The sequence below is a fragment of the Homo sapiens genome, chromosome 16 (assembly GCF_000001405.40).
Source record: "Homo sapiens chromosome 16, GRCh38.p14 Primary Assembly".
Classification (NCBI taxonomy): Eukaryota; Metazoa; Chordata; class Mammalia; order Primates; family Hominidae; genus Homo; species Homo sapiens.
In genome coordinates, this window is record NC_000016.10 from 20,055,837 (window position 1) to 20,081,511 (window position 25,675).

Genomic DNA, 25,675 nt, shown 5'->3' on the forward strand with positions numbered 1-25,675 from the left:
AAGCTTGGCTTTGAGCCATTTAGTAATTTGCCATGTGCCTCAGTTTTCTCATCTGTAGAATTGGGTAATAGCATCTACTTCATAGGGTTAGAAGGATTAAATTAGTTAATTCAGGTAATGTGTTTAAAACAGTATCTAACATGTAGTAGGAACTCAATGTTAATTTTAACTATGGTAAATGACTATTAGTTTAGTGTCTATCATAAAGAAGTCAGCAATCTTACTATCCATGTTTCAGCCATGGATACTGTGAAATGAGGGGATGTGGTGGTGGAAAGGCATGAATGCAGTATTTGGCTACTGACTTGGGGCTATGCCATCATGCTGTCAACCCCACCCTTTCCCCAGCACTGCTCCCCAACCCAAGACTGGGGTTGATGAGCTTCCATTTTTGTTCCATGGTATGCTGGGCTTTCTTTTTGCACGTCATACATCAGTCTTCACAGTAATGTGATTTACTTCTGCATCTCTCCAACTAGACTCTGCCCTTCCTGAGGGTAGGAACCCAGATTTATTTTCCTTTATGGCACAAGTAGCTATCACAATTTACAAACGAAAGAACAATGGAAGGTCCCAGTAGGATTCAGAGGGGTAACTTCATTTTGGAGGTCATTCCTGCCTTTGACAGCTTTGTGTCTATATGGGAATGATGAGCCCTGGGTTTGAGATCCAAGAATGTAGCTTCGGTTTTCAGTCCTGCCTACCCGTAGTAGCTTGGGAGAGTCTCTTAACTCTTCTGAGCTTTCAGTTTCATAATGGATGAGCTCTTTGTAAATTTTAATTCACTTTGCACATTGGTCAGCACTTTATTAACATTAATGGTTATAATTGATGACTCTTTTTAAGCATTAGGAATAGAGTCTGGCACATAATAGGTGGTCAATAAACATTCACTATGTGAACTGGATTTGGAATTCTAAGTACTCGACTGAAATTGAGCCCACTTAAGGCTGAGAAAGCAAACCTTGGAAGGAAGGATCTGGAAGAGGAGAAATTTTTTTCAGGGGGATTGTTTCATCACAATATTCTTTTTAAGGAAGAGGGAACTCAATTTCCATTTTGTAAGTTAGGTGTGGGGTGTAGAGGAAATTCACCTACCTGTCCTTGATTAAAAATAATCTCAAGTAATTAAAACATCTACTTGGGGAGAGGGTAATGGGGATGATGTCGGGAGAATCTTCAATCAGGAAGGAAGACACAGTTCCTTGAAACAGCTGCAAAGACCATGCTGGGAGAATGAACAAGGCAGAGTGGTCTGTAGACACAGCATTTTTCTTGTCCTGTGCCCTGAATACCAATGTCTGCAGTGGGCCCAATGGCAAGCACAGAACATAAGCAGTGACGTGCAGGCCGGTCGCATCTCAGCTCTGCTGCTCACTGGCTGAATTACCTTGGGCAGGCCACTTTACTTCTCGAAGCCTTAGTTTCCCCATATGCCAAATGAGCATGATGGAAGTATCAATCTCACAGGCACTGCTGTAAAGATTAAATAAGGCAACATGGAGCAACATTTTGGTCTAGTGCTTGGCTCAGAGTAAGTACTCAAATGGTAATGGTGGTGATGATGGTGATGAAGATAGTTATGATCAAGACGTTGTCTTCAGTATTCTTGGAGGCTAGTATGAAGATTACATTTATGGGATTAAGAAGGTAGTCATCTATCCATCTATACCATCCATCCATCCATCCATCCATCCGTCCATCCATCCATCCCTTCCTCCCTCCCTCCCTTCCTCCATCCATCCTTCCATCCATCCCTCCACCCATCCCTCCATCCACTTATAAATCCACCCATCCATCCATCCAATACCTACCAGGCCCCCTACCATGTGCCAAGGCCCACCAGAGGACCCTGGAGTCAAGAGTTGACTTAGACTCCATGCCTACTGTCAAGAGTACACAGTCTAATTCAGCATCTTTTCAATGTTCCTATGCAGAGATAAGCCCTTCCTCCAGTCCCCACAGGAATTTAAATGCCCTCACCCCTCACCACCCTCATCTCATTGTAGAACTAGTCTAATTTTATTATGATGATCAATTTTCCTTTCTACCTAACTAGAGCGTGACTTCTTTTAGGGCAAAAGCCATTTCATGTGCATCTCTGTCTTTCCCTGCATCATTATCCCCTGTAGTCCCTGGCACAAAGTAGGGCCTCATGAAATGAAACCTGGTCCTTGATAATGCAGCCTAAAGGGCCCAGGGGAGGATCTACTAGGAAAGCCTTGTCAGTTTTTAAAAAAGGAACTCTTCTATTGGTTAAATGCCTACTATGTGCCAAGCACTCTATGTATATTACATTACATATTCCCTTCAATAAGATGGGCACTCATCCTTATTTTACGGATATGTAGAGGTTCAGAGGATTTAACTATACCCAGCAAAAACTCCAGGTGGAACTCAAATCCAGGTCTTACAGCCCTTCTTTCTTGCAGGAAAGGCATTTAGAATGGCTGGAGAGGAGATAAGACAAATAATGTGATGGTGTAAATGGATGTGGAGTGTGTGTGTGTGTGTGTGTGTGTGTATTGTATACATAGTCAAATTTGAGGAAGGCGTGAACATAGCAAACTCAAATTCCTACAGGGGCAAGGCAGGGAACAGAAGCGAGAGAAACAGATCAGGTGTAAGAAAAATCTTTGTGTTGGTGGAGGGAATAGGGAGAGGCAGAGCCATCCTTCTCTGGCCTGAAGGTCTGTTTTGAGAAGATCCAAGAAGCAACCACCTTTTTCTTCCCTCTTCTGCGAGCTATGTCTGCCATTTTCAAGATGTCCTTGGAATCTCCACCTTGGACTTGGGGTCATTATTCCCTTTTCCCTGCTAGACACTATGTTATCAGTACTGAATGCAGTCACAGTGACGATGTCCCTCCGTCACGCTGGCCAGAACTCAATCCCTTTTATTTGTCAAACGACAGTGCTGAAGGTGACCTTTTTCTTCTAGTTTGCCTCTGTCGGACAGCAGCCCAGCTCAGGCCCTTGTTTTCTCTCTGTTCAGGATTCTTACAGCTGACAGCTAGGTCATTAGCAGGATTCGCCCACTGCTACGACTGGGAGGATCACTCTCCACTGTGCCGCGGGCGCTTCCCACAGCCCTCGAGAGCCCGGCACAGACGTCCTTGGTGTCTGAGAACATCATTATCCTGCTCATTTCTCTGGGCTGTCTATATTTTATGTGGAGTCTGAAGGTGATGGTGGCTGGGGTGGGAGGAGGATGAGAGAGGGTGGGTGTGAACATGGCCTCTGAGCCGCACTCCTATTGGGTGCCAGGCCCTGTTCTGGGCACCCTGGTGATGATCCTCTCTCTGCCCAGCACCCATTAGAACCTCCCTCTCTTTGCTAAGCCCGTCTCATCTCTACCATTTACTCTTTTCATAGCAGCCAGAGAGACTTTTGGAAAACCCAAATTGGATCATGTCAACCCTTCAAAGGGCTCCTGTGCCTTCTTGCAGCATGTAAGAAGTCAAATCTCAATTCCCCACCATCACCCACCTAGCCCAGCCTGTGCCTATCTCTTCCCCATCATCTCCTGCCCCTTCTCCCACTTTTTCATTGTACTCTAACCTCACTGGTCTTTCGTGCCAGCTGATTCTCACCTCTGGGTTACCCTGGCTGTTCCCTCTACGCCTACCCTGGCTGATTCCACCTCATTATTTAGGTCTCTGCTCAAACATCACCACTTTGGAACACCCTTTCTTGACCACCCAACCTAATGGAGCTCCCTGTCACCTTACCTCGTATGGTCTCCATGGCACATGTCAGTATCTGAAATGGTTTTGTGTGTGCATTGGCTTCCCTGCCTGCTGCTTGTCTCCTTGCTCATGCAGGGACTTCTTCGTATTTTTCTTTGCTTTCTCCCACTGCCTAGAAGAGTGCTTGGCACATGACAGGGGCTCATGGATATGAGCTAAGTGAACACAGTTGATCTTATCACCCTCATTCCCAGATGAGGAAACTGAGGCTCGAAGAAGGGGAAATTACCTGCTCACAGTCTTGCAGCTAACAACGTTGCAGCACTGAACTCAAGCCCAGGTGTGCCCCATCCCTAAACCGTTGTTGCCTCCATGACGTCCTCTGCCGGGAAGAAGGGGTGTTCTGGAAGGGTCGTGGGTGCAGAGGGAGGACACAAGGTGGAACCACGGTCTGTGAGGGTCAGGAGTGTGGGTCCCTGATTCCTTTAAGGGATGCCCACCCCGACCCTCCTTATGACTCCAACCCTCTTGTGCTCTCTCTCCAACCACTGCCCATTCCACCACATTCCAGGGAAGACACTGCTTTCTTTCAGGAGGCAGATGATGGTTCTTGTCAGCAGCTCCGTGGAGCTGAACTGTGGTGAGGCTGGAATGCTAAAAGTTAAAAGCTGCAGCGAGAACAGAACCATGGCCATTCTACACCTTTGGCTGCAGGGTGTGTGTGTGTGTGTGCGTGTGTGTGTGTGGTGCATGTGTGCATCTGTGTGTCTATATGTGTATCTCTGTGTGTGGTGTGTATCTGCATGTATGTCTCTGTGTGTGCATCTCTATGTGTGCAAGTTGATGTGTACTTCTGTGTGTCTATATGTGTGTGTGTCTCTGCATGTGATGTGTGTCTGCATGTGTGTCTGTGTGGGTCTGCATCTGTGTGTCTGTGTATGCACGCCTGTGTGTGTGTCTGTGTGTCTGGGTAGAGTCCCCCAGTTGAAATGATGAGGCTGATCGCTTGCTTTGCACTTAGCTGAAAATAGGAAATGTCTGTGGCTGAAAAGCAATTCCCCCAGCTCTACCCATGTTTGTCAAACAAGTGGAGAAAGAAAAGAAGTCATTAGTGGACACATCAGTTCATACTCTGTATAATGTATTGTCCCAACTCAGGGTCAATTTACCTGCTTTTACAAGGTGCTGGCCTCCTGTTTCACTCTGCTTGCATCTGGCACCATGCATCCCCCTTCTCCTTTTTTGGTCACTCCAGACACTCTGACCCTCTTGCTGTCGTGATATGTGTGTACCAGTCCCCTCCTGCCTCAGGGTTATGGCACAGCCTGCTCCCTTTGTCCCCTCCGTTCCACTCTTTCCTTCCATGTCCTTCAGATTTCGATCACTCCTTCTTGAGGGGAGCTTTCCTTGAGTTCTCTTGTCTGGGTCAATTTCTTGAGTGATAGGCTCTCACAGCACCAAGTAGCTCTCTTTCATGACTTTTTCTCAGTTGAACTTTTACACTTATTTGGGTTTCTGATCATGCTAGTCTTTCCTCTGTGTGTGTGTGTGTGTGTGTGTTGTGTGTAAATGCCACAAGGGCAAAAAAATGGGTCTTTTTTGGTTCACCACGTACCTAGCATGGTGCCTGGTACCTAGCAATGCCAGGCCCAGAATGGATGGATGGATGGATGGATGGATGGATGGATGGATGGATGGATGTGTGGATGGATGGATGGATGGATGGATGGATGGATGGATGGATGGCTGTGTGGACAGATGGATGGACAGATGCATGGACATATGGATGGATAGATGCGTGGATGGATGGATGGGTGGATGGATAGATGAATCAATGGGTGGATGGATGGATGGATAGATGGATAGGTGGATGGATAGATGAATGGATGGGGGGATGGATGGATGGATGGATGTGTGGGCGGATGTATGTATGTATGTGTGAATGGATGGCTGGACAAATGAGTCAATGAATGCAGGTGCATTGTCTGATTGTGCTCTCTGATTTCTCTTCTCATCCTTTTTGCCATGGGGCAAAATGAAAGCACACATTTGAGGTTAAAATTCCTAGCTTCCTCTCAATGCAGTCCAGCAGGTCATGACCATCACTTAAGAAAAGCACAAGCCATTCTGCTTCCACTTTATAGAAAAACAAAGATCCTGGGTCACTCATACAGTAAAATTCCCTCCCTTTGAATTGTACTAGGATCCAAGGTAGTCACCTCCTCCCCACGCCTGACCCTACCATCTTTACATTTCCCTTGGTAGAGGTGGAGGCTGATCACTTGCTTTGCACTGCTGCACTGCTGCAATGGCCAAATTGCAGCAATGGCCAAAGCACACTGGATTTGGAATCCCAGAGATTTGGGGTCAAGGCCCAGCTCTGCTGCTAATTAGCTATGTATGCATCCCCGGGGAATTTCCTTTCCCTCTAAGCCTCAGTTTTTCCATCAAGGGCATTGTAGGCCAGGTGCAGGGTCTTGTGCCTGTAATCCCAGAGCTTTGGGAGACTGAAGCAGGAGAATTACTTAAGGCCAGGAGTTTGAGATCAGCCTGGGCAACATAGTGAGACCCCATCTCTAAATTAAATATACTTTTAAAAAAGGACATTGTATTAGAACAGTGTTCCCCAGACTTTAGTGACTGTCCTACTGCAAAGGATTGAATGTGTTCCCCACTGAACTTGTATTTTGAAGTCCTAACCCCCAATGTGATGGGACTAGGAAATGGGGTTTTTGGGAATTGATTAGGTCCTGAGATGGAGCCCTCATGAATGGAATTAGCGACTTTATAAAAGGGACTCCAGAGGGCTGTCTTCCTCTCTTTCTCCCGTGAGAGGATACAACAAGTCAGGAATCTGCAACCTGGAAGAGGGCCCTTCCCAGAGCCTGATTGCTCTGGCACCCTGATCTCAGACTTGAGGGGAAAGAAAAGAAGTCACTAGTTTATAAAGCCACTAATTTATAAAGCCTTCAGAACTGTGAGATGTAAATTTCTGTGGTACATAAGCCCCCTAGTCTATGGTACTTTGTTACAGCAGCCCAAACAGACCAAGACACCCACCAACTTTGTGATTTTTGCTGCATTCTTGTGTCACGAGTACTATCATTTATTTAGCATTTTGTTTGAAAGTGATTTGCCTTTTTTTCCTTAAATTTATACTTTATATAATCGTGCTGCCCAATATAAATGTGAGTCATATATACAATTAAAATTTTCCTAGTAGTCACGTTAATAAAGTAAAAAGAAGCAGGAGAAGATAATTTTAACAATATATTTTATTTAACTATATACATCCAAAATGTAATTTATGTAAACTATTGATGAGATATTTAACTTTTTTTCATGCTAAATCTTCAAAATCTGCTGTGTATTTCATGCTTCCAGCACACATATCCCTATGGATGACAAATTTTCATCGGAAGTCTCTGACCTCTATTTAGATGTCATAAAATGTGTGATTGAAAGAGTAGATTCACATACTCAAGTTGTTCCAAGTATACAGTTATTTTCTACTAACTGAATTGAGTATGTGATTTTAGTTGTAAATTAATTGAAATGAAATGAAATAAAAAATTCAGTTCCACAGTTGCACTAGTCAAATATCAAATGCTCAGTAGCTACATGCAGCTAGTGGTTATTCTATTGGACGGCACGTGTATATAACCACCCCAGATCACAAATCAGCCTCCCTTCCCTGTTGTAAACAGGAGGTAGTCTTAAATAGAAATACAATGACCATACAAGAGTCACATTAAACTCCAGCTAGGTGCTGCTGCCTGCCAAGGTCTGGGCCCAAGGCCTGCTCTGTGTCTATTCAAAAGAGAGATTTAAACTGAGTGCAGTGGCATGTGTCTGTAGTCCTAGCTACTCAGGAGGCTGAGATGGGAGGATCCCTTGAGCCCAGGAGTTCAAGGCTGCAGTGAGCTATGAGTGAGCACTTCACTGCACTTCAGCCTGGGTGATAGAGTGAGCCCCTGTCTAAAAAATAAAAGAGGGAGATTTACCACATATTTAAAAAGGTGTTAAACATACACTAGCACCAAGCTGAAACTTTCCCTTTGATGGAATCAGAAGGACTAAGACAGCTGAAAAGAGATTCAATGCTACAGACTTGTACCACCTAAAATAATCCTATATACCAACAAAACAAACCAAAAATATCTAAGCAATCGTTCTGAGCTCTAAAATCTCCCAGGCTCTTTTTCCTTTACTCCTTTTGCTTCCTCCTAAGAGACTGCTAGCAGTGTGATTTCGTGAAAAGTGAACTGAGACTTGGGAAAAGTAAGTTCTGGTTAAGACTCTGCTATTCTGTATTAGTACGTTCTCACACTGCTATAAAGACATACCTGAGACTAGGTAATTTATAAAGGAAAGAGATTTAATTGACTCACAGTTCCACATGGCTGGGGAGGCCTCAGGAAACTTACAATCATGGTGGAAGGTGAAGGGGAAGAAAAGACCTGCTTCACATGGTGGCAGGAAAGAGAGAGCTAGCAAAAGCAGGGAAAACTGCCTTATAAAATCATTGGATCTCATGAGAACTCACTTTCTATCATGAGAAAAGATTAAGCAACCCTTAATCTAATAATTTTCCACCAGGTCACTCCCTAATCCCTTGGGGATTACAATTCAAGATGAGATTTGGATGGGGACACAAACCTCAACCATATCACATTCCTAGCTCTGCAGATTCCTCATTTCATAAAATGGGGATGTTTGGACTCATAGAAAACACAGCGGCCATTACTGCTTATACCTGTAATCCCAGTACTTTGGGAAGCCGAGGTGGGTGGATCACTTGAGACCAGGAGCTCAAGACCAGCCTGGCCAACATGGTGAAACCCTGTCTCTACTAAAAACACAAAAAATTAGCTGGGGATGGTGGCTGTAATTCCAGCTACTCGGGAGGCTGAGGCAGGAGGATCACTTGAACCTGGGAGGTGGAGCTTTCAGTGAGCTGAAATTGGACCACTGCACTCCACACTCCAGCCTGGGCGACACACTGGGACTCTGCCTCAAACAACAACAACAAAAGTTAAATAAGTTAATGCATTTGAAGTGTTTTGAAGCATTCTTAGCACATAGTAATGGCTAGTACCAGACATTGTGCCCCAGGCAACCCTGAATTATCTCATTTCAGCTACACCATGAACCCTGTGAAAAAGGGATTCTTATACCCATTCTGCAGATAGGAACACTGAGGCTCCGAAAGGGTGAAGCCACTTGCCAGAGCCCCATTAACAGGAAACAACGAGGCGGGAATTTGAACCCAGGTCTGAGGAGTACAGAGCCTACATCCTGATCCACCATGCTGGCAGGTTCTAAGGACACTTCCTGTTCCAAAACAAAATGGTGGATTTGTGTTTCAAGATGTTGTTAGCATGCAATGTGTGGTATTTTTTGGAGCTCTTTATTCCAGCTTATCCCAAATCCCTGGTTTCATGGGTTGGCATGCTTTTCCACTTTAGCCACATATTTCTCTGTGTCTCCATCCCTGTTTTTCCTCGATCCTCCCTCTAGATTCTTCTTCTTTTTTTTTCTCCACTTGCTGTGACCCCATTGGTGTTTTTTGGTGCTTGTTGCAGCTTTCCCAACCCCTGAGTTTGTGAATTGGCAGCGTGCTGGGCCATATCAAGCCTGCAGATATGTTTGGTTTGGCTCACAAAGTGCTGGCTCACATAGTGTTTTTGAAATTTTTGAATTAGTTGCCAACATGTGAAACAATGGACATTTCATATAAAAATCTGGATTTCTAGATTTTTTGAACAACTTGGCAACACTAAACCACTGGCTGGAAAGCTGAGTGGCAGTGGCACTTTGTAGCTCCCTCAGTCCCTATCTTTCCTGTTGTGGTCACTCCCACTTCTCTCGACCTGGTCTGAATGTTGGTTATCATTGAGGAGCGTTTGCTGCTGTTTTCTTACATGAAAGCTGAGAAGCAGTACTGAATACTGCCCTGTCATTTCTTCACTGTGTGACCTTGGGGAAGTGTCTCAAAGTTCTCACCTGAAAAATGGGTATAATACATGCCTCAAAGAATCGTCAAAGAATCATAAGTTAAATGAGGCCAGGCGCATTGGTCACACCTGTAATCCCAGCACTTTGGGAAGCTGAGATGGGTGGATCATTTGAGGCCAGGAGTTTGCGAACTGCCTGGCCAAAATGGTGAAACCCCATCTCTACTAAAAACACAAAAAAATGAGCAGGGCATGGTGGTGCATGGCTGTAATTCCAGCTGCCCGGGAGGCTGAGGCAGAAGAATCGCTTGAACCTGGGAGATGGAGCTTGCAGTGAGCTGAAATCGCGCCACTGCACTCCACACTCCAGCACGGGTGACACAGTGAGACTATCTCAAAAAAAAAAAAAAAAAAGTTAAATAAGTTAATGCGTTTGAAGTGTTTTGAAGAATGCTTAGTACATAGTAAGCACTATAAGTGTGTCAGCAATTATTAAGAGAAATAGTTTGTTTTTTTGTTTGTTTTGTACATCTGTCTCTATAACTGAGAAAAAATAGAGATGAGGAGAGCCACAGCCTTTCAGAAAAACCGCAGAGAAGCATGATTCTTTGGGTAAGTGAAGCATTTCTTAAAAACTAGACTACTTTGTTCATTTACATTATCTGACTGCTCCGTTTAAATATTTGAATTGAAGACACCTGGCCACTATCATTTCATGGTGCCCTCTGCAGGGCTGGCATTGGCTATCACCATTTGCCAATATGTTTCAGATCCACACGGAGGTTCAGTGGCAGGACCCTTTCTGTTCATGATTCTGACTGCATTATCCAGGACAACCTTGCTGGTGGTGTTTGTCGGTCTCTGCCAGCTGTAGCTGAAGGCCATTTCATGTTCTGCACTGATATTATTTCTAGGAGTTTCACTGAATCACAGGCAACTCTTTTAGGGGGACAAATTCCCTAGGCTTATGATGGAATTGATTGCTTAATCTATTGGATCATTCTCTTGTAGTTTGCCAGGGCATGTTGTTTCATTTCCACTTTGAGTGAAATTGTGGATTCATGGAAAAGACCTATGCACAGAGTGATGTGTGGCTACAGGCCATTTATAAGGCTTGAGCACGTGGACATGTTAGACAATAAAACAATGCGAGTTACTATTTGCCGAGCTCCTACAATGTGTGAGGCACTGTGAGAAGCCTTTGCATATTTTATTTCTAATCGTCACAGCAACCAATCCAGGGCACAGAAGGTTAATAGCATTTATTGAACTCTTACTCTATGTGAGAGTGAACACGTGCCGAGAATAGTGCTAAGCATTCTTGTAATTTCATTTAATCCTCAAAACAGCCCAATGAGAGAAGTATTGTTATTCCATCTCACAGCTGAAGAAACTGAGGCTCAGAGAAGGTGAGAAATTTGCCCATGGTCACAGATTAGCAGTCAGGGGCACAGGATTCAAACCCAGTCAGTTTGACTTCAGAGACCACTGGGCTTAACTGCTAAACTCAACTGCCCACTTTCTTGCAGATGGGAAAACCGGGGCTCAGAGAGGTGAAGTGTTATACCTGCGATCACACAGCAAACATGGTTTAGAAACAGAATTTAAATCCACATCCAGTTCCAAAGCAATGTATTTTACACTCAATCTCACAAAGCAAAACTAACATGATCGTTACAGAAACTAAGCAGGAGCGAAAACTACAAAAATGCTGTACTGGATCCCAGCCCAAAGCCAGCCCAGGCAGCCTCCAGCATAGCTACATCATTGGTCTATGCTCATGTCCTGTCCATGGGGCCATGTCTCCAACTATAGCAACACAGCAGAACCTGGCTCTCCTGGGCCTTTGAGAGACCCATTAATAATAACTCGGCCAAGGTCACACAGTGAGTTATTGCCAGATCAAACCTGGAATGATGAAGTGCTCTTTTTCTCACTGCTATAACAGGAGTCCTATGGTCAAATGTGCCTAAGGACGAGTCATGCAGTATACAAAGGTCAATTAGGCACGCCATTAGAGACTATTCAGAATTGGAGTGCTGGCTGGGCACAGTGGCTCTTGCCTGTAATCCCAGCACTTTGGGAGGCTGAGGCAGGTGGATCAGCTGAGGTCGGGAGTTTGAGACCAGCCTGACCAATGTGGAGAAACCCCGTCTCTACTAAAAATACAAAATTAGCCAGGCATGGTGGCGCATGCCTGTAATCCCAGCTACTTGGGAGGCTGAGGAAGAAGAATCGCTTGAATCCAGGAGGCAGAAGTTGCGGTGAGCCGAGATTGCACCATTGCACTCCAGCCTGGGCAACTAGAGCAAAACTCCATCTCAAAAAAAAAAAAAAAAAAAAGCATTGGAGTGCCTATGTGCTTTTGAAAGGGGCAGTCAACCAAGAAACTATGATTCAAATACACAATAGAATGCAATACAGCTGTATAAAAGAATGAGAAAGCCATCGTGGATGATTAATATATTAAGTGGAAAAAGAGTAAATGTGGGACAGTGTGTATAATGTGCTCATTTTAGGGACAGTGAAAAAAAAGGGAGAGTTGAAATCCATAATTGATATTTTCTCGGATATGCATGAAGATACCCTGAAAGAATACATAAGAAACTAAAATACTAATAACAGTGGTTACCTCTGTGATGGTGGGTTTGAGAAGTGGTGAACAGGAGAAAGTGATGGAAGGGAGACTTTCCAATGTGTGCCTGTTTATATTTTTAGGCTTTGAGTCACATGAATATCATTATCTATTTAATGCAAAAAAAAAAAAAAAAAAAAAAGAAAGGAGAAATAAAATAAAGCAAGCAGCTATTCCTCAGCTCCAGAAAATTGCTGTCTTGTGGGCATGTGAATCTAATGTGAATTCTTCTGGTGTTTTTAAGGGAACTTGGAAATCTATTTTTTAAAATTTCCAGTTTTTAATTTCAAATTATTCACTGGTAGTATATAAAAATACAATAGGTTTTTACATACTAACCATGTATCTTGCAAACACGCTGAACTCATTTATTAGTTCTTAGGAGTTTTTGTGGTGTGGAGTCTTTGTGATTTTCTAGGAAGGCCATTGTATCATCTGTGAACCGAAACTACTGAATTCCTTCCTTTCTGTATAAATTTTATTTCTTTTTCTTGCCTTATTGCACTGGCTAGGACTTCTTCCAGTATGATGTTTAATAGGAGTGGTGAGAGCAGTCATCCTTGCCTTGTTCTAGATCTTAGGGAAAAAGCATTCAGTTTTTTCATCATTAAATGTGTTGTAAGACATAAGTTATTTATAGATGCCCTTTATCAAGTTAAAGAAGTTATTTTTCTTTTCCTAGTTTGATGAGTTTTTATCACAAATCGATGTTAAATTTTGTCAAGTGCTTTTTCTGCATCTATTGAGATGGATCACATGCCTTAAAATTTTTTTTTTTTTTAGTTTGTTAATATGATGAGTTATACTGAGTGATTTTCACATGTCGAACCAGTGTTGTATTCCTGGGATAAACTCAAGTTGATTCTGACATGTTATTCCTCTTATATATTGCTGGATTAGATTTGCTAATATTTTGTTGATGATTTTTGTGTCTATGTTCATGAGGAACATTGGGTTGTAGTTTTCTTTTTTTGTAATGTCTTTGTCCGGTTTTGATAAAGCTGGCGTCACAAAGTGAGTTGGGATTTTTTCCTAATTTTTAAATGATGAAAAAATAACGTATAGAGTGCTTACCATATTCCAGGCATTGTGCTCAGTGCTTAGCCCATTTAATCTTCACAGCAACCCTATGAACTGTAGACTATTCTTATAATCACTCCCAGTTAAAGTCACTTGCCCAAGGTCATATAACTTGTAAGCAGCACAGCCAGGACTCAGACCCCAGAGGTCCAGCTCCAGAGTGTGTCCTTTTAACCTGTTTATTCCATTTTCTCTCATTAAAGATGTTTACAAGGTAAAGAAAACATATCTGCAGGCCTCAGTCCAGCTGACAGATCACCAGTTTTCTACTTCTAGTTGACAACAATGGTAACTACCATGCGTCAGGCTTATTTACTATCTGCCAGGCTACAGACTCATCATCTGCCTTCATCTTGCACCAACTCTCAAAGGCACATGTTACAGATGTTATCATTCTCACTTGGCAGTGGTGGAAATGCACCCTTCTGCTGGGCGGCATGCAGTTTCAAGCTATCATCTCTTTCCTCACCTTGTCTTTCTGCACATCCCCGGCACTCTTTAGAAGGTAATTTTTTTTAAAATCTCTCAAATCTCAGTTTAATTTCACACTGCTCCTTCCTTATCAAGCTGGCCCACCCATCCTCCCTCTCACTGTCTTCCCCCAGGGGCTCAAGTTCATCATTTTCTCCTGCATTGCTGTCTCTTTTGTACTGTCTCATTCCAGTTGGTCCAATGAGTGTCCCAAATCCTTGCTTTTTGGCTCTGCTGACTTATTTTGTGTGTCTCGAGAAGTGAGAAACGTCTTTCTTACTTAAAAAGGAGGAGGAAAGGGGGAAAGAGATGGAGTTTTAGGAATAGGTGGGACACCGATTTTCTCCACAGAGCACAGAAAGGAGGGACAGAGGTTAGTTCAAACAACTGCCTGGCATTAATGAAGGTGAAGCCATACAACAAAATTGCACTGTTTGCCTTATTGCACTGTTTAATAAGGCAGCATGTTTGCATGCTGGCTTGACTGTGCGACAGTAGATAAGATGCTTCGTTTTTCTGAGTCTCAGTTTGTTCATTGTAAAATGAGTTCAAAGACAGGTATAGGTCGCAGAGGTGTGGCAGGGATTAAGTGTAATAATATAGGTGACAGAGATCCAGTGTGGAGAAGGCACTGAGTGAGGAATAAGTGCTTTTCTTGGACAAGGCACTGTGCTAAGCCATTTTTACATAGATGATCTTATTTCATATATACCACCTGTGTGGGTAAGAGGTACTACTGTTGCCCCCATTTTGCAGATGGGGAAAATTATGATGAAGAGAGGTGAAGAGTTCTTAAGTGGCAAAGCTGTACCCATATTTCACATTAGAATTTCTTCGATCCTACACCAACCAGTTAAAAATTAGACTGTCTGGGGCAATCCCCTAGCTCTTCCTCCCAACCTAGAGACCGAAGGTAGTCAGAGACATCCACCACTTTCCTGTGATACTAGCTCTGCTGTTGCTAAACATTCAGGCGCTCCCCATCCATCCCTCAGTTCCCACCCATGTCTCCAACAACTACTGCGAGAATTTGGGAAACTTGGGGTGAGTCCACTGCCAGGAATAGTGATTCAATTAAAATCTCAGTTTTCAACAATATGAGCAAGAGCTGTGGTCTGTTACTCCACACCCAGCAAAGCTGCGTCTCCCAGTCAGTGGTGGAGTAATGAGAGTTTGCTAATTGCTGGTGGCTGGGGAAGGGAGGTGATGGGTGGGGACCACTGTGGTGAGCTCAACACGCAGAGTTACATGCTGACCTGAATGCTTTCTTCTGTGTATCTCAGTCCCTCCTCTGGTCACTGGTGGGGCTGAGCAAGCAGACCGCCCTCCTTACAACTTGATCGGCTTCATGATATCTATGACCACAGCAGTGCAGTGTCAATAAATGAATGTCAGGCACCAAGGCGAGCATTTCGCTAGTGCCATCATCTGCAGCAACATCCTTACTTCTCAACACCACTCCAGGGGATAGCTACCCTCATAATTCCCATTTTACTGCTGTGGAAACTGAGGCACAGAGACATGAAAAGCTTGCAACCTCACCCCAGCAGAATCTGGATTAACATTCACTCTTCATTGCCAGGACATGCTTGTCTCCCCTTATGGTTTTAAGAGAATGACTTAAAGAATTCACCTTTGAACCAGCCTTGTGGGCTGTTAACAAAACTGCTAGCAGACCAAGACTTTTGGATAAGCCTGGCCTCCCCAGTCATTCTTCTTTAGGTTGCTTGGTCCTTACGCATCCATCTGCTGTCTTTGGAATCATGCGCTTGCATTTGGGAGCTCCTGGAACTCAGAGACTGCATCCTAGGACTTTGTGTCCTTTTGACACCCAGTTAATACTTAGCATACCATAGTGGCCAAAACTATTAGTTGAGGGTATGAAGACATCAACAACAGCTAAATCCTAATCCTAGCTTCATCCTTTTAAGTTCCCAAACTCTGGGCTAAGCCTGTGGCTAGCATAGTGCCTGGCATACAGTAGATGTCAATGCTGTGTGTCAGGAAGGCCCTAGCTGGCATAGGAGTTGGGATGTGAAGGTGCGAGGTACCTTGGCTTCCACCTTGAGGTCTTTAAAGGCCTAAGTTTTTCCTCATTTTCTCCATCCTCTTGTCCCTGCTTTGAACTCTTGAAGGGTCAACCTCTGCTTGTCTTTGTCTCTGTCCCTTAAATGGTTTCATTAGAAAAGCCTGGGATAGTGAGTGAGTGAGTGGCTATCTCACTCAGTAGAGGAGGTGCAAGGGTGGGTGGATTGTTGGGGGGACATTCTGATGGGAATGCTGAGGGGGAAAGAGGTTCTTACACTTTTCCAGTTCAGCAAGCATCATCAAATAACCAACCTTCTCAAAAACTCATTTCCCAAAACAGTGCTCTGGGGAGAGAAGCTCCGAAGGGCTGAAGGGGGGAGGTGGAACCTGGACTAAAATCAATCCCAGCTCAAGGTAATTACAGGACATGTGCTACCACCCCGGCAGGGCAAGTCAGAGGCTGAGCTGCTCTCCTAGGGCAGCCGTGGCGATTAGTTAGGAATAAAAGCCTCATCACTGGCTTGGGGAGAGAGGCTCACACATTAGTAAACTTGCGCTTTCTCATGCCTGCCAAATTTGGGAGGGGGGATTTATTGAAACAATCTCATCAGGGGCCCTGACTGCCAAGTTGAATGTTTGGGAAAGGAAATCTCAGCCAGGCTCTCAGAAATCCAGCTCCCAAGTTCCCAGGATCGCAAGATGCTAAGGTTCGCAGACTAAGAGATGACTAGGGAGATGATGCTAAGATTTCAGGCTGTACACTGGATTTTTTTTCTCTCTTTCTCTCTGCTTCTTTCAGTCCCTCTCTCCTCTCTGCATGCAAGTAATCTTTAGGGATCTATTTGTCACCAAGACTGCCTGCAAGGAGGGTCCACCCAAAGCTGGAGCCCCAGGAAAAAAGCTTTCTCTCTCTCTCGCTCTCTCTCGCACACGGCCCAGGCAAGCACTCCCTCCTTCTCGGCAGCTCAGCTCTCTTCAGGAATTCAGGACAAGTCTCAGCCACACTTTGGAAAGGACATTAAGATGTGGGACCAGCCAGACATCCACAGCAGCCGTGAGCTGCCCAGGGTGGGTAGACCTGGAGGCCAAGCCAGGGGGCCAGGCATGTCCTCAAGGAGACTGTGACCCCCTGAGGTGGCAGCCACCGCAGGCTGCCCTGTGTGTCTCTGCACCCTTGCCCTGGCCAGGGCATGGTCCCAGAGCCAACCCCTGATTCTCCTTAGCCAGCTGGGAGACCCTTTTCTTGCTAGGCATTCTTTCTCCATTCCAGTGCCCCCCGAGCAAGAGAGTGCTCAATGTCAGGGTCTCCAGCTTCATCTCGTGTCAGGCGGGGACACGCAGAGGGGCAGAGGTGCCCCAAGTGGGGTGGACGTGCAGGGGCCACGGGAGAAGGGAAGCCTCCACGAAGCCTTCTGTCCAGAACATGCAGTCAAGCCAAACACACACAAAGCCCTCTACGCCCCCACCCCATGAAAGCCGCCCCCTCCAGATGCGCGCACAAATGCACCTTCGAATCCATGCTCACATGCCCAGCCCATCGCCCGCCGTCACAGTCATCACACACACACACACACACACACACACGCTCGCGCGCGCACACACACACACACGGTCCCCAGCTAGGGCACAGCAACTTCCTTTCCCCCCGTGTGGAAATATCCATAGTTGCCCTTAAAGCTTAAACTTTTTCCGAGGGGGCGCCAGGGAACGCACGGGGGAGGACGGGGGATTCTGGGTAGGGTTGCCCGGCACTTGGGGTTCCTGGCTTCCCTCCCTCTCCCCCACGCCCCTCACCTGGTAAACCGAGGCACAGCAAGAGGCTGTAGTAGACCACGGGCACGAAACCCAAGCCGCAGGCCGAGCCGGGGGACCACCAAGACAGCGAGCTGTTGGCTGCGAGGTGGGCGTGCGTGTGCTCCATGAGCGCGCCCCTCGCTCCCCTTGCCGCTTCGCGCCCGGCCTGCCAGCCCGACTCTGGTCGCCGGCTCGGTGGTGGCGGCGGCGGAGGCAGCGGCAGCTGGAGCAGCAGCGCCTCTCTCCCCGCAGGACTGGCTCCTACCCTTGGCCGTGATCCCCTCTGCTCGCTCCGCACCTGCCCGCCTGGAGTCTTGGCTCAGCCCTCCCGCAGGGCGCGGGGCGCAGGGTGCGGGGCGCGCTGCGCGGGGCCTCGGGAGGGGCTCCCGGAGCCCGTCTGTGCGCCTCCCACCTCGGACCCGCTCCACTCCCGCCTCAAAGCCGGGGGGCTGGGACGCCGCTCCCCGCAGCCAATCAGCGGCTGCCTGGAAGCGGAGTGTGTGTGGGGTGGGAGGGATGCGGAAGAGGAGGGGGTCCCAGCCGCCTCGCTTGGCTCCACTTTCAGGGGAGAAGATGCAGTTAGACCTGGGAGCCCCGAAGGAAGACCGGAGTGGAAAACAGGCTATCCCCAATCTCCAACCCCGAGGGAGGGGCGTGGTGTGGGTAGGATCTGCCTCTCCCGCAGCGGCTCCTCACTCCTCCAGCGTGTCCTCAGTTTGCCTTTCTCCACTCTCCTCGCAGCCACCTCTCTTGCCCCTCTCCAATGCTTCCAGTCCATCTCCGGATAGAGGATTCTATACCTAGGGCAAAGAACGGGGGAAGGGGTGGGGCTGTTGGAGCAGCGAGGATGCTAAAGCGTTGTCGGTTTTCCTCGACAAGGGAAGCTGAGCTTGCTGGCTCTGGAAAGAGGGGTGCGTGCCTCCCTGTGCGTGTGTGTGGCGACTCTGGGGGTGGCCGCCGGTGAACTGTCCCCTAACTGGAGTGCGTTTGAAGAGGATACAGACTGGCTAAGAGAAGCCCCTCCTGCATGCCGCCCTTCAGTCAGGAATAAGGATGTTGCAGACACTCAAACACGCACTCGCCCACGCTCACACAAAGACACACAATACCCAGGCATGCGGTGTACTCACACGCTCACTCAGGCACGCGGATGCTCTCCCATCCCACACCCAGACCCTTGAAAACACGCAGGCATCCTCATCACCATGCACAAGACCACACTCACAGGGCGCTCCAAACATACGAAAACGCACGCGGGAGTCATGGGGGCTTGTCGAGAGTGCTTGAAGGTTGTGTGAAGGGTAGCATTTGTAAGGCAGGTGGGATCCAAGCAATGTGTGGGTGGGTGGTCCTTTCTCCTCAGGGCAGGCAGGTGGAGGGTTCCGGGTGTGGCCACCACAGACTTGAGGAGAAAGAGAGGAGAGAAAGAGAGAGAGAGAGAGAGAGAGGAGAGAGAGGAGAGAGAGAGAGAGAGAGAGAGGGACATAGTGTCTGTCTGGGGCTCAAGACAGTGAGTGTGAGAGAGTTAAAGATTCTGCAGGAACACCCAGGCCAGGCATCCCCAGGAGCAGACTGTAGCAGCTGCCTATGCAAAGAGCTGTGATGGGTCTGAGAAGCCTAAGACCCCCCGCCCTCAAACCCCCCACTCCCGCTGCTTCCCAACGCCCCTCACCCCTATATCACATCCATTCCTGGAGAGAAGGAACTGGCTAAGCTTTCCCCAGCCTCTTCCAGGTCTCCCAACGTGGAGCAGACCCCTGTCCCTCAAGACCAGCAAAGAGCATGTATCCAGTTCTTGTCTTTGTTAGAGGTTACCCCAGGCAGGGATGGGGGACACTCTAGGGCAGAGTGGAAATCTCCAAAGCATACAGAGTCAGGCAGTCTGCATAAGGGGGGCATCTACTGGATCTAGCTGGGTCTGTGGTAAGCAAGGAGGCACGTGGCCCCACAAAAGGGCAGATTAGAGTCACATGGACCCAGCCCAGTGAGGCCAGGTCTGAGATTTCAAGCCCCATTAGATACTGAAATTTTATTATGACCTCTCTCGATTAAATATGACTACTGCAAACACAAAGAAAACGAGAACACCGCTGCATTGATGAATAAAGCAGTGGCTGGCCATTGTAGAAGCTCAATAAATAATTGTTCAAAAACCTATAGATTGGATTGGTCTGCAGGCAGCTAGACTGAGATGAGAAGTTGGGGATAGCCAGGGGCGGGGGAAATGTATGTGATCTGACAAAGCCCTCCTAGTCTCTTCAAAGATGCCCTCTGCATTGGGAATGATGGATAAGGCTTCTGGGCTTTTGCACTGGCCATTCCCTTTGCCTGGAATGTTCTTCCTCTGCACAGCTACAGAAAGCTGTTTCCTCACCTTCTTAGGGTCTTTGCTTATCCGTCCTTTTCTCTTTGAAGCTTTCCCTTATAATCCTATTTACATTGAAATCTCTACTCCCCTCCCTATTGAAATCTCTATTCTTCTCCCACCTCAAAGTATTCACATCCTCTGTCCCTCGCTGCTTAATTTTTCTGCATAGTGTATAGCGCCATCAGCAGACCATACACGTTGTATTTATTTACTTTTCTTTCTCTTAGAAAGGCAGGGCCTTTTGTCTGTGTCGTTCCTGGTTGCGTCTCAGCTTCACACGGTGCCTGCATGCTGCAGACTCTCAACAGACATCGAAAGAATGAATGGACTCAGCACCCAGGGCCTGCAGGGAGATGAGTTTATCTTTGCTTGTCTTTGCAGGCCAGGGTCTCAGAATGCTGTTGGGGTTAGGGGGATTAAGCATATAATGATCATGTATGACAAGTCACTCCAAAAATGATTTGAGTGGTTTGAATTCACAGAACTACAAACTTGGCTAGGCAGAGGGACTGGACTGCATGGGAAATCTTGACGGACCTTATTGTGTCTGAATCTTTATTTCTCCGTGTAAAATGGGGATGAAAGAAATCAGGTATGCCTTTGTCCCAGGAATGCTGAGCTGGGAGAAAAAGAGGGGTGTGGTGCGTATGGTGCAGACTGCAGTTCTGGAGAATGGGGAATTGGATTGGGTCCTCTGCTGGCTCCATCAGGAACACTGGCAGTTTGTCAAGGTCCAAGTTTCCTGGAAAATGGATAGTTTGGATGAGAAGATTTTTTATTTTTTTGAAGAGATGGTCTCACTATGTTGCGTGGACTTGTCTCAAACTCCTGCCTCAGCCTCTCAAAGTGCTGGGATTATGGTGATGAGCCAATGCACCTGGCCTGGATGAGAAGATCTTTAAAGACTTAAGTCAAGCTTTGAGTGTTCCTGGGTCCCAGGGAATGGGCAGGATGAGTTAACAACAAAAGTCTGTTTAATTTTGCTTAAGGGGCTCATCCACTTGATTGGTTCTGTATGACAATGGCAGACTCAGTTCAACAACAGTGGTTGGCTGAATTCATTCATTTATTCATTCTTTCAACAGAATGTTACCGGACACGTAACATATGCTGGTCAGGACCAGCCACATAATTTGCAAGGCCCAGTGCAAAATAAAAATGCGAGGTCTCTTGTTCAAAAATTATTAAGAATTTCAAGACACCAAGAGTAGAGCATTAAACCAAGCATGGAGCCCTTTCAAGCATGGGACCTTGAGTGACTACATAGGTCACACATCCATGAGGCCAGTCCGGCTTAGGAGACACAGGTGAGTGATAAGAGTTAACATTTACTGAGGGTTTGTTAAGAGACAGCCACGACTTAACTCATTGCATCTTCATTATCACAATGGAAGGAAGGTATAATTATTAGCCCCATTTCACAGATGAGAAAACCAAGGCAGAGAGAAGTTTAGTAATTTGCCCAAGAACACCTGGTTGGAATTGAATCCAAGGCAGTTGGCTCCAGAGCCTGTGCTGAAACCATCAGGAGCTCAGACTAGTGGAAGGATAGGTAAGTGATAGGAAACGTCACACACTGTCACGTAGGCTCTTTGTAACATGAAGGCAGGATCTTCATCTGTCTTATCCTTCACTGTATCCTTAGTGCCAAGAGCAGTGCCAGGTAGGTGTCCAGAAGTAAAACTTAGATTAGTTAATAAATAAATATAATAGAAATATATACAGAATTTTAGAGGAGGAGTTTCACACTTGAATGCCTGTGAGCCTGGGCAGGTAATAAATATTCTTCACTGTCTTTTTCTTTTTCTTTTTTTTTTTGAGTCAGAATCTTGCTTTGTCGCCCAGGCTGTAGTGCAGTGGCATAATCTCGGCTCACTGCAAGCTCCGCCTCCCAGGTTCACGCCATTCTCCTGCCTCAGCCTCCCGAGTAGCTGGGACTACAGGCCTCTGCCACCATGCCCGGCTAATTTTTTTTTGTATTTTTAGTAGAGATGGGGTTTCACTGTGTTAGCCAGGATGGTCTTGATCTCCTGACCTCGTGACCCTCCTGCCTCAGCTTTTTTTTTTTTTTTTTTTTTTTTTTGAGACAGAGTCTTGCTCTTGTCACCCAGGCTGGAGTGCACTGCAACCTCTGCTTCCTGGGTTCAAGAGATTCTCCTGCCTCAGCTTCCCAAGTAGCTGGGATTATAGTCACCTGCCACCATGCCTGGCTAATTTTTGTATTTTTAGTAGAGATGGGGTTTCACCATATTGGTCAGGATGGTCTCAAACTCCTGATCTCAAGTGATCCACCTGCCTTGGCCTCCCAAAGTGCTGGGGTTACAGGCATGAGCCACTGTGCCCAGCCACATTCTTCACTTTCATAGGAAATATGCTATCTCCCATTTTTCCTGGAAACTCTTGGTCCTCTTGGTCTAGATTCTGTTTCTCCACCCTTTGATAGAGGTGGCGGTATGAAGGGATAATTCTTTAAGATAAACAACAACATAAACATAACTTAAATTGCAACTAACACTTTACTCAGAGTTTGGAAGGCAATAGGGAGTAGTGGGGACTGTAACAAACTAGATATGCGTACGCTAGTCACTGTATGGGATTCTGGGTATACAATTGTTTTTAAAAGTTGACGTGGTCTCTGCTTTCCTGGATCTTTAAGTCAAGTGCAAGATATAGGCATGAATCAATTCATACACACACACACACCCCCACGGATAATTTGCTCAAGGGGCTGATCCACTTGATTGGTTCTGTATGACAATGGCGCACTCAAGCCAACTGTGGTTGGGGCTTGGATATGGGCTGTAAAAAAAAGTGAAAGGAATGAGCCAGCATGCACCAAGGAGTCAAGGAAAATTCTATGTAGTCTGGTGGTCAGGGAAGGCTTCTCTGAGGAAGTGATATTTGAGCTGATATGTGAAGGATAAGTAAGGATTAAGAGATGAAGGATAAGTAGTGAAGGGATGTTGGTCTAGGGGTGAGGGGAGCATCCCAGGTGGAAGAAAGAGGCAGTGCAAAGGCCCTGGGGTGGGAGTGAGAAGAACTCTTTGAGGAGGTGGGAGACCAGGGACTGTGTGTGTGTGTGTGTGTGTGTGTTGGTGTGTGTGTGTGTGTAGGTGCAGTACAAGCAGATCCATGCAGTTAGGCAGTGAGTGGGGTCTTGTAGGCTACAGGGAGAAGTTAGGTCTTTATCCATGGTTTTAAGCAGGGGAGTGCTGTGATTATATTTGCATTTTCAAATACTTACTATGTCAGGGAGGTGGAGAATTGATGGAAAAGAGGCAAGAATAGAAGTGGGTAGACGAGTTTCGAGGTTGTCATGTTGGATATGTGAGAAATGATAGTGGCTTGGACTAGGGTGGTATTAATGATGGAGTGGGCTGCATTCCAGAAGTTAGGAGAGTGTGTGTGCAAAGAAAGAGGGAGAGGGAAAGGCAAAGTGAGAAAGGGAGTTAGGAGCGAAAGAGAGTAAAGAGTCAGCTAGAGAGAGAGGGAGAGACAGAGATGTGGAGAAAGACACAGAGAGACGGAGATAGATGAATAGACAGACAGATTGATAGGAAGTGAAAGGCAAATGCACAGTGATTATGATTAAGGTTGTTCTAGATGGAAGGGCAGATGAAATGGGGCTTGTAGCACCCTGGGTCCACTTGGCTGAATCCTCTGTCCTCCCACTTCCTACAGACTGTAGCTTGCCCTCTGGTTTCTCCCTGCTTTTCAGGACTCCTTTAAAGGATAACTTTGACCTCAAAATCTTTCCTGACCTGCACATCCCTGTTTACCTCCCACATGGACAGTCTTTCTCCTGAAACATCTCTTACCACATTGTGTTGGCACTCAAAGGTTATCTGTTATCTGCCCTTCCTGCATTAAGATCACCTCCTGGCGAGGGAAGTGTCCTTCATCCTGGAATGTTCAATGCAGAACCTAATTGCAGTGCAAGCAGTGTAACTGTCAACTGTTGAGGCTTACATCCAGACCTGGGTTTGAATCCCAGCTCAGCTCCCTTAGTAACTGTGTGTTCCCCAGGACTCTTTTTATTGAAATTGATGAAGAAAAACTTAAACTAGTTTAATTTTTAAAAAGGAATGTATCGGCTCTTAAAACTGAAAAGTATAGACGTTTGCCTGACTGCAGGCCTGGCTGATCAGGTGCAAATGCATACCTGGCTTTTTCCATCAATGGCTTCTGCTTTGCCTTGATTAGCTGCATTCTTAAGCAGGTTTTTACAATATAATAAAAAGATGGACACCATCATCCCTAGATTTATCCTATCAGATTAATAACCAGAGCTAAAAGAGAACTGGAACAAAAGCCCTGGGAAAGACCCCTGATGAACCAACCTGGGTGAGGGGCTCATCTCAATTAAACTCACAAGTTTGAGTTAGATTTCTATAGCCAACAACAAAAAAATACATATATATATACTGATTGCAACGTATGTCTCATGTGTCCAGTGACAAAGCCAAGAGAACGGGTAAGTTCTTTCCAAACCACACTGACTATGAGAGGAGGTGGACCATTTATTCAAAGAAAAGTTGGGATTCCATAACGGGAGGAATGGAAGTAAATGATGGCTAGGCTGCATGTTTGTGAGCTGAATTCAGCCCAAGGGATACCAGTTTGCTGGTCCTGTTAGATTTACGCTGGATGTTTTATTCTAAAAAATTAAATAGATTTTGGTTTTTAAAGATGTTTTAGATTTACAGCAACATTGAATTGAAGGTACAGAGATTTTCCAAATGCCCTCCATCCCCACACAGGCATAGCCTCCCCTATTATCAACATCCTGCCCAAGAGCAGTCCATTTGTTACAACTGGTGAGCCTATGTGAACACATCACTATCACCTAAAGTCCACGGTTTATGTTAGCATTAGAGTTTTCGGTGTTGTACATTCTATGGGTTTGGACAAATGTATAATAACATGTACCCACCATTATAGTATCATCCAGAGTAGTTTCACTGTCCTAAAAATCCTCCTTGCGTTACCTGTAGATCCCTTGCTCTGTCCCCCAACCCATGTGTTTTATTTCTGGGGGTCAAAAATATCTTCTGTGTGAACTGTAAACAAATAAAACTCTAGTTCATGCTGAAGTTTTGGGTTGAAGGGTACTAATGCCTGCCACTTTAAAATGTAACAAAAAATAGGCCAGGAGCGGTGGCTCACGCCTGTAATTCCAGCACTTTGGGAAGCTGAGGCAGGTGGATCATGAGGTCAGGAGTTCAAGACCAGCCTGGCCAACATGGTGAAACCCCGTCTCTACAAAAAATACAAAAATTAGCTGGGCATGGTGGTGTGTGCCTGTAATCCCAGCTACTCAGGAGGCTGTGGCAGGAGAATTGCTTGAACTGGGACCCAGGAGGCGGAGGTTGCAGTGAGCCAAGATTATGCCACTGCACTCAAGCCTGGGCTACAGAGCGAGACTCTGTCTCAAAAAAAAAAATAAAATTAAAAAATTAAAAAATTAAAAGGATTGATGGATAGCTAGAAGAATGGATAGAGGGGTAGATATACCTTAAAGCAAGGAGATGTTAGTGGTAGAATCTAGGTCATGGGTAGATGGGTTTTCAGTGGAAACATTTTTCAACTTTTATGTCTGCTTGAAAATTATCATAATAAAATGTAGGAAAACGTGTCTTGTGCAGTGTGTCTTG

The 25,675-nt window shown here is 45.9% G+C and overlaps 1 protein-coding gene across 2 annotated transcripts in view; it reads right to left on the reverse strand.

Moving 5' to 3' along the window:
- Window positions 1-18,054, reverse strand: part of GPR139 (G protein-coupled receptor 139) — a 45,652-nt gene extending 27,598 nt beyond the window's left edge. Inside the window, exons 1-2 of one of the 2 annotated variants that reach the window (NM_001318483.1) lie at window positions 17,654-17,942; window positions 15,088-15,186 (exon numbers count right to left, since the gene is read on the reverse strand). Coding sequence is in view for 1 of the 2 variants with exons in the window: in NM_001002911.4 (NP_001002911.1) it covers window positions 17,654-17,780 (127 nt within the window). In the remaining variant the exon portion in view is untranslated. Of the gene's footprint in view, window positions 1-15,087; window positions 15,187-17,653 lie in introns of both variants that reach the window. The other variant, NM_001002911.4, reaches the window with a different exon arrangement.
- Between the last annotated feature and the right edge of the window lie 7,621 nt (window positions 18,055-25,675).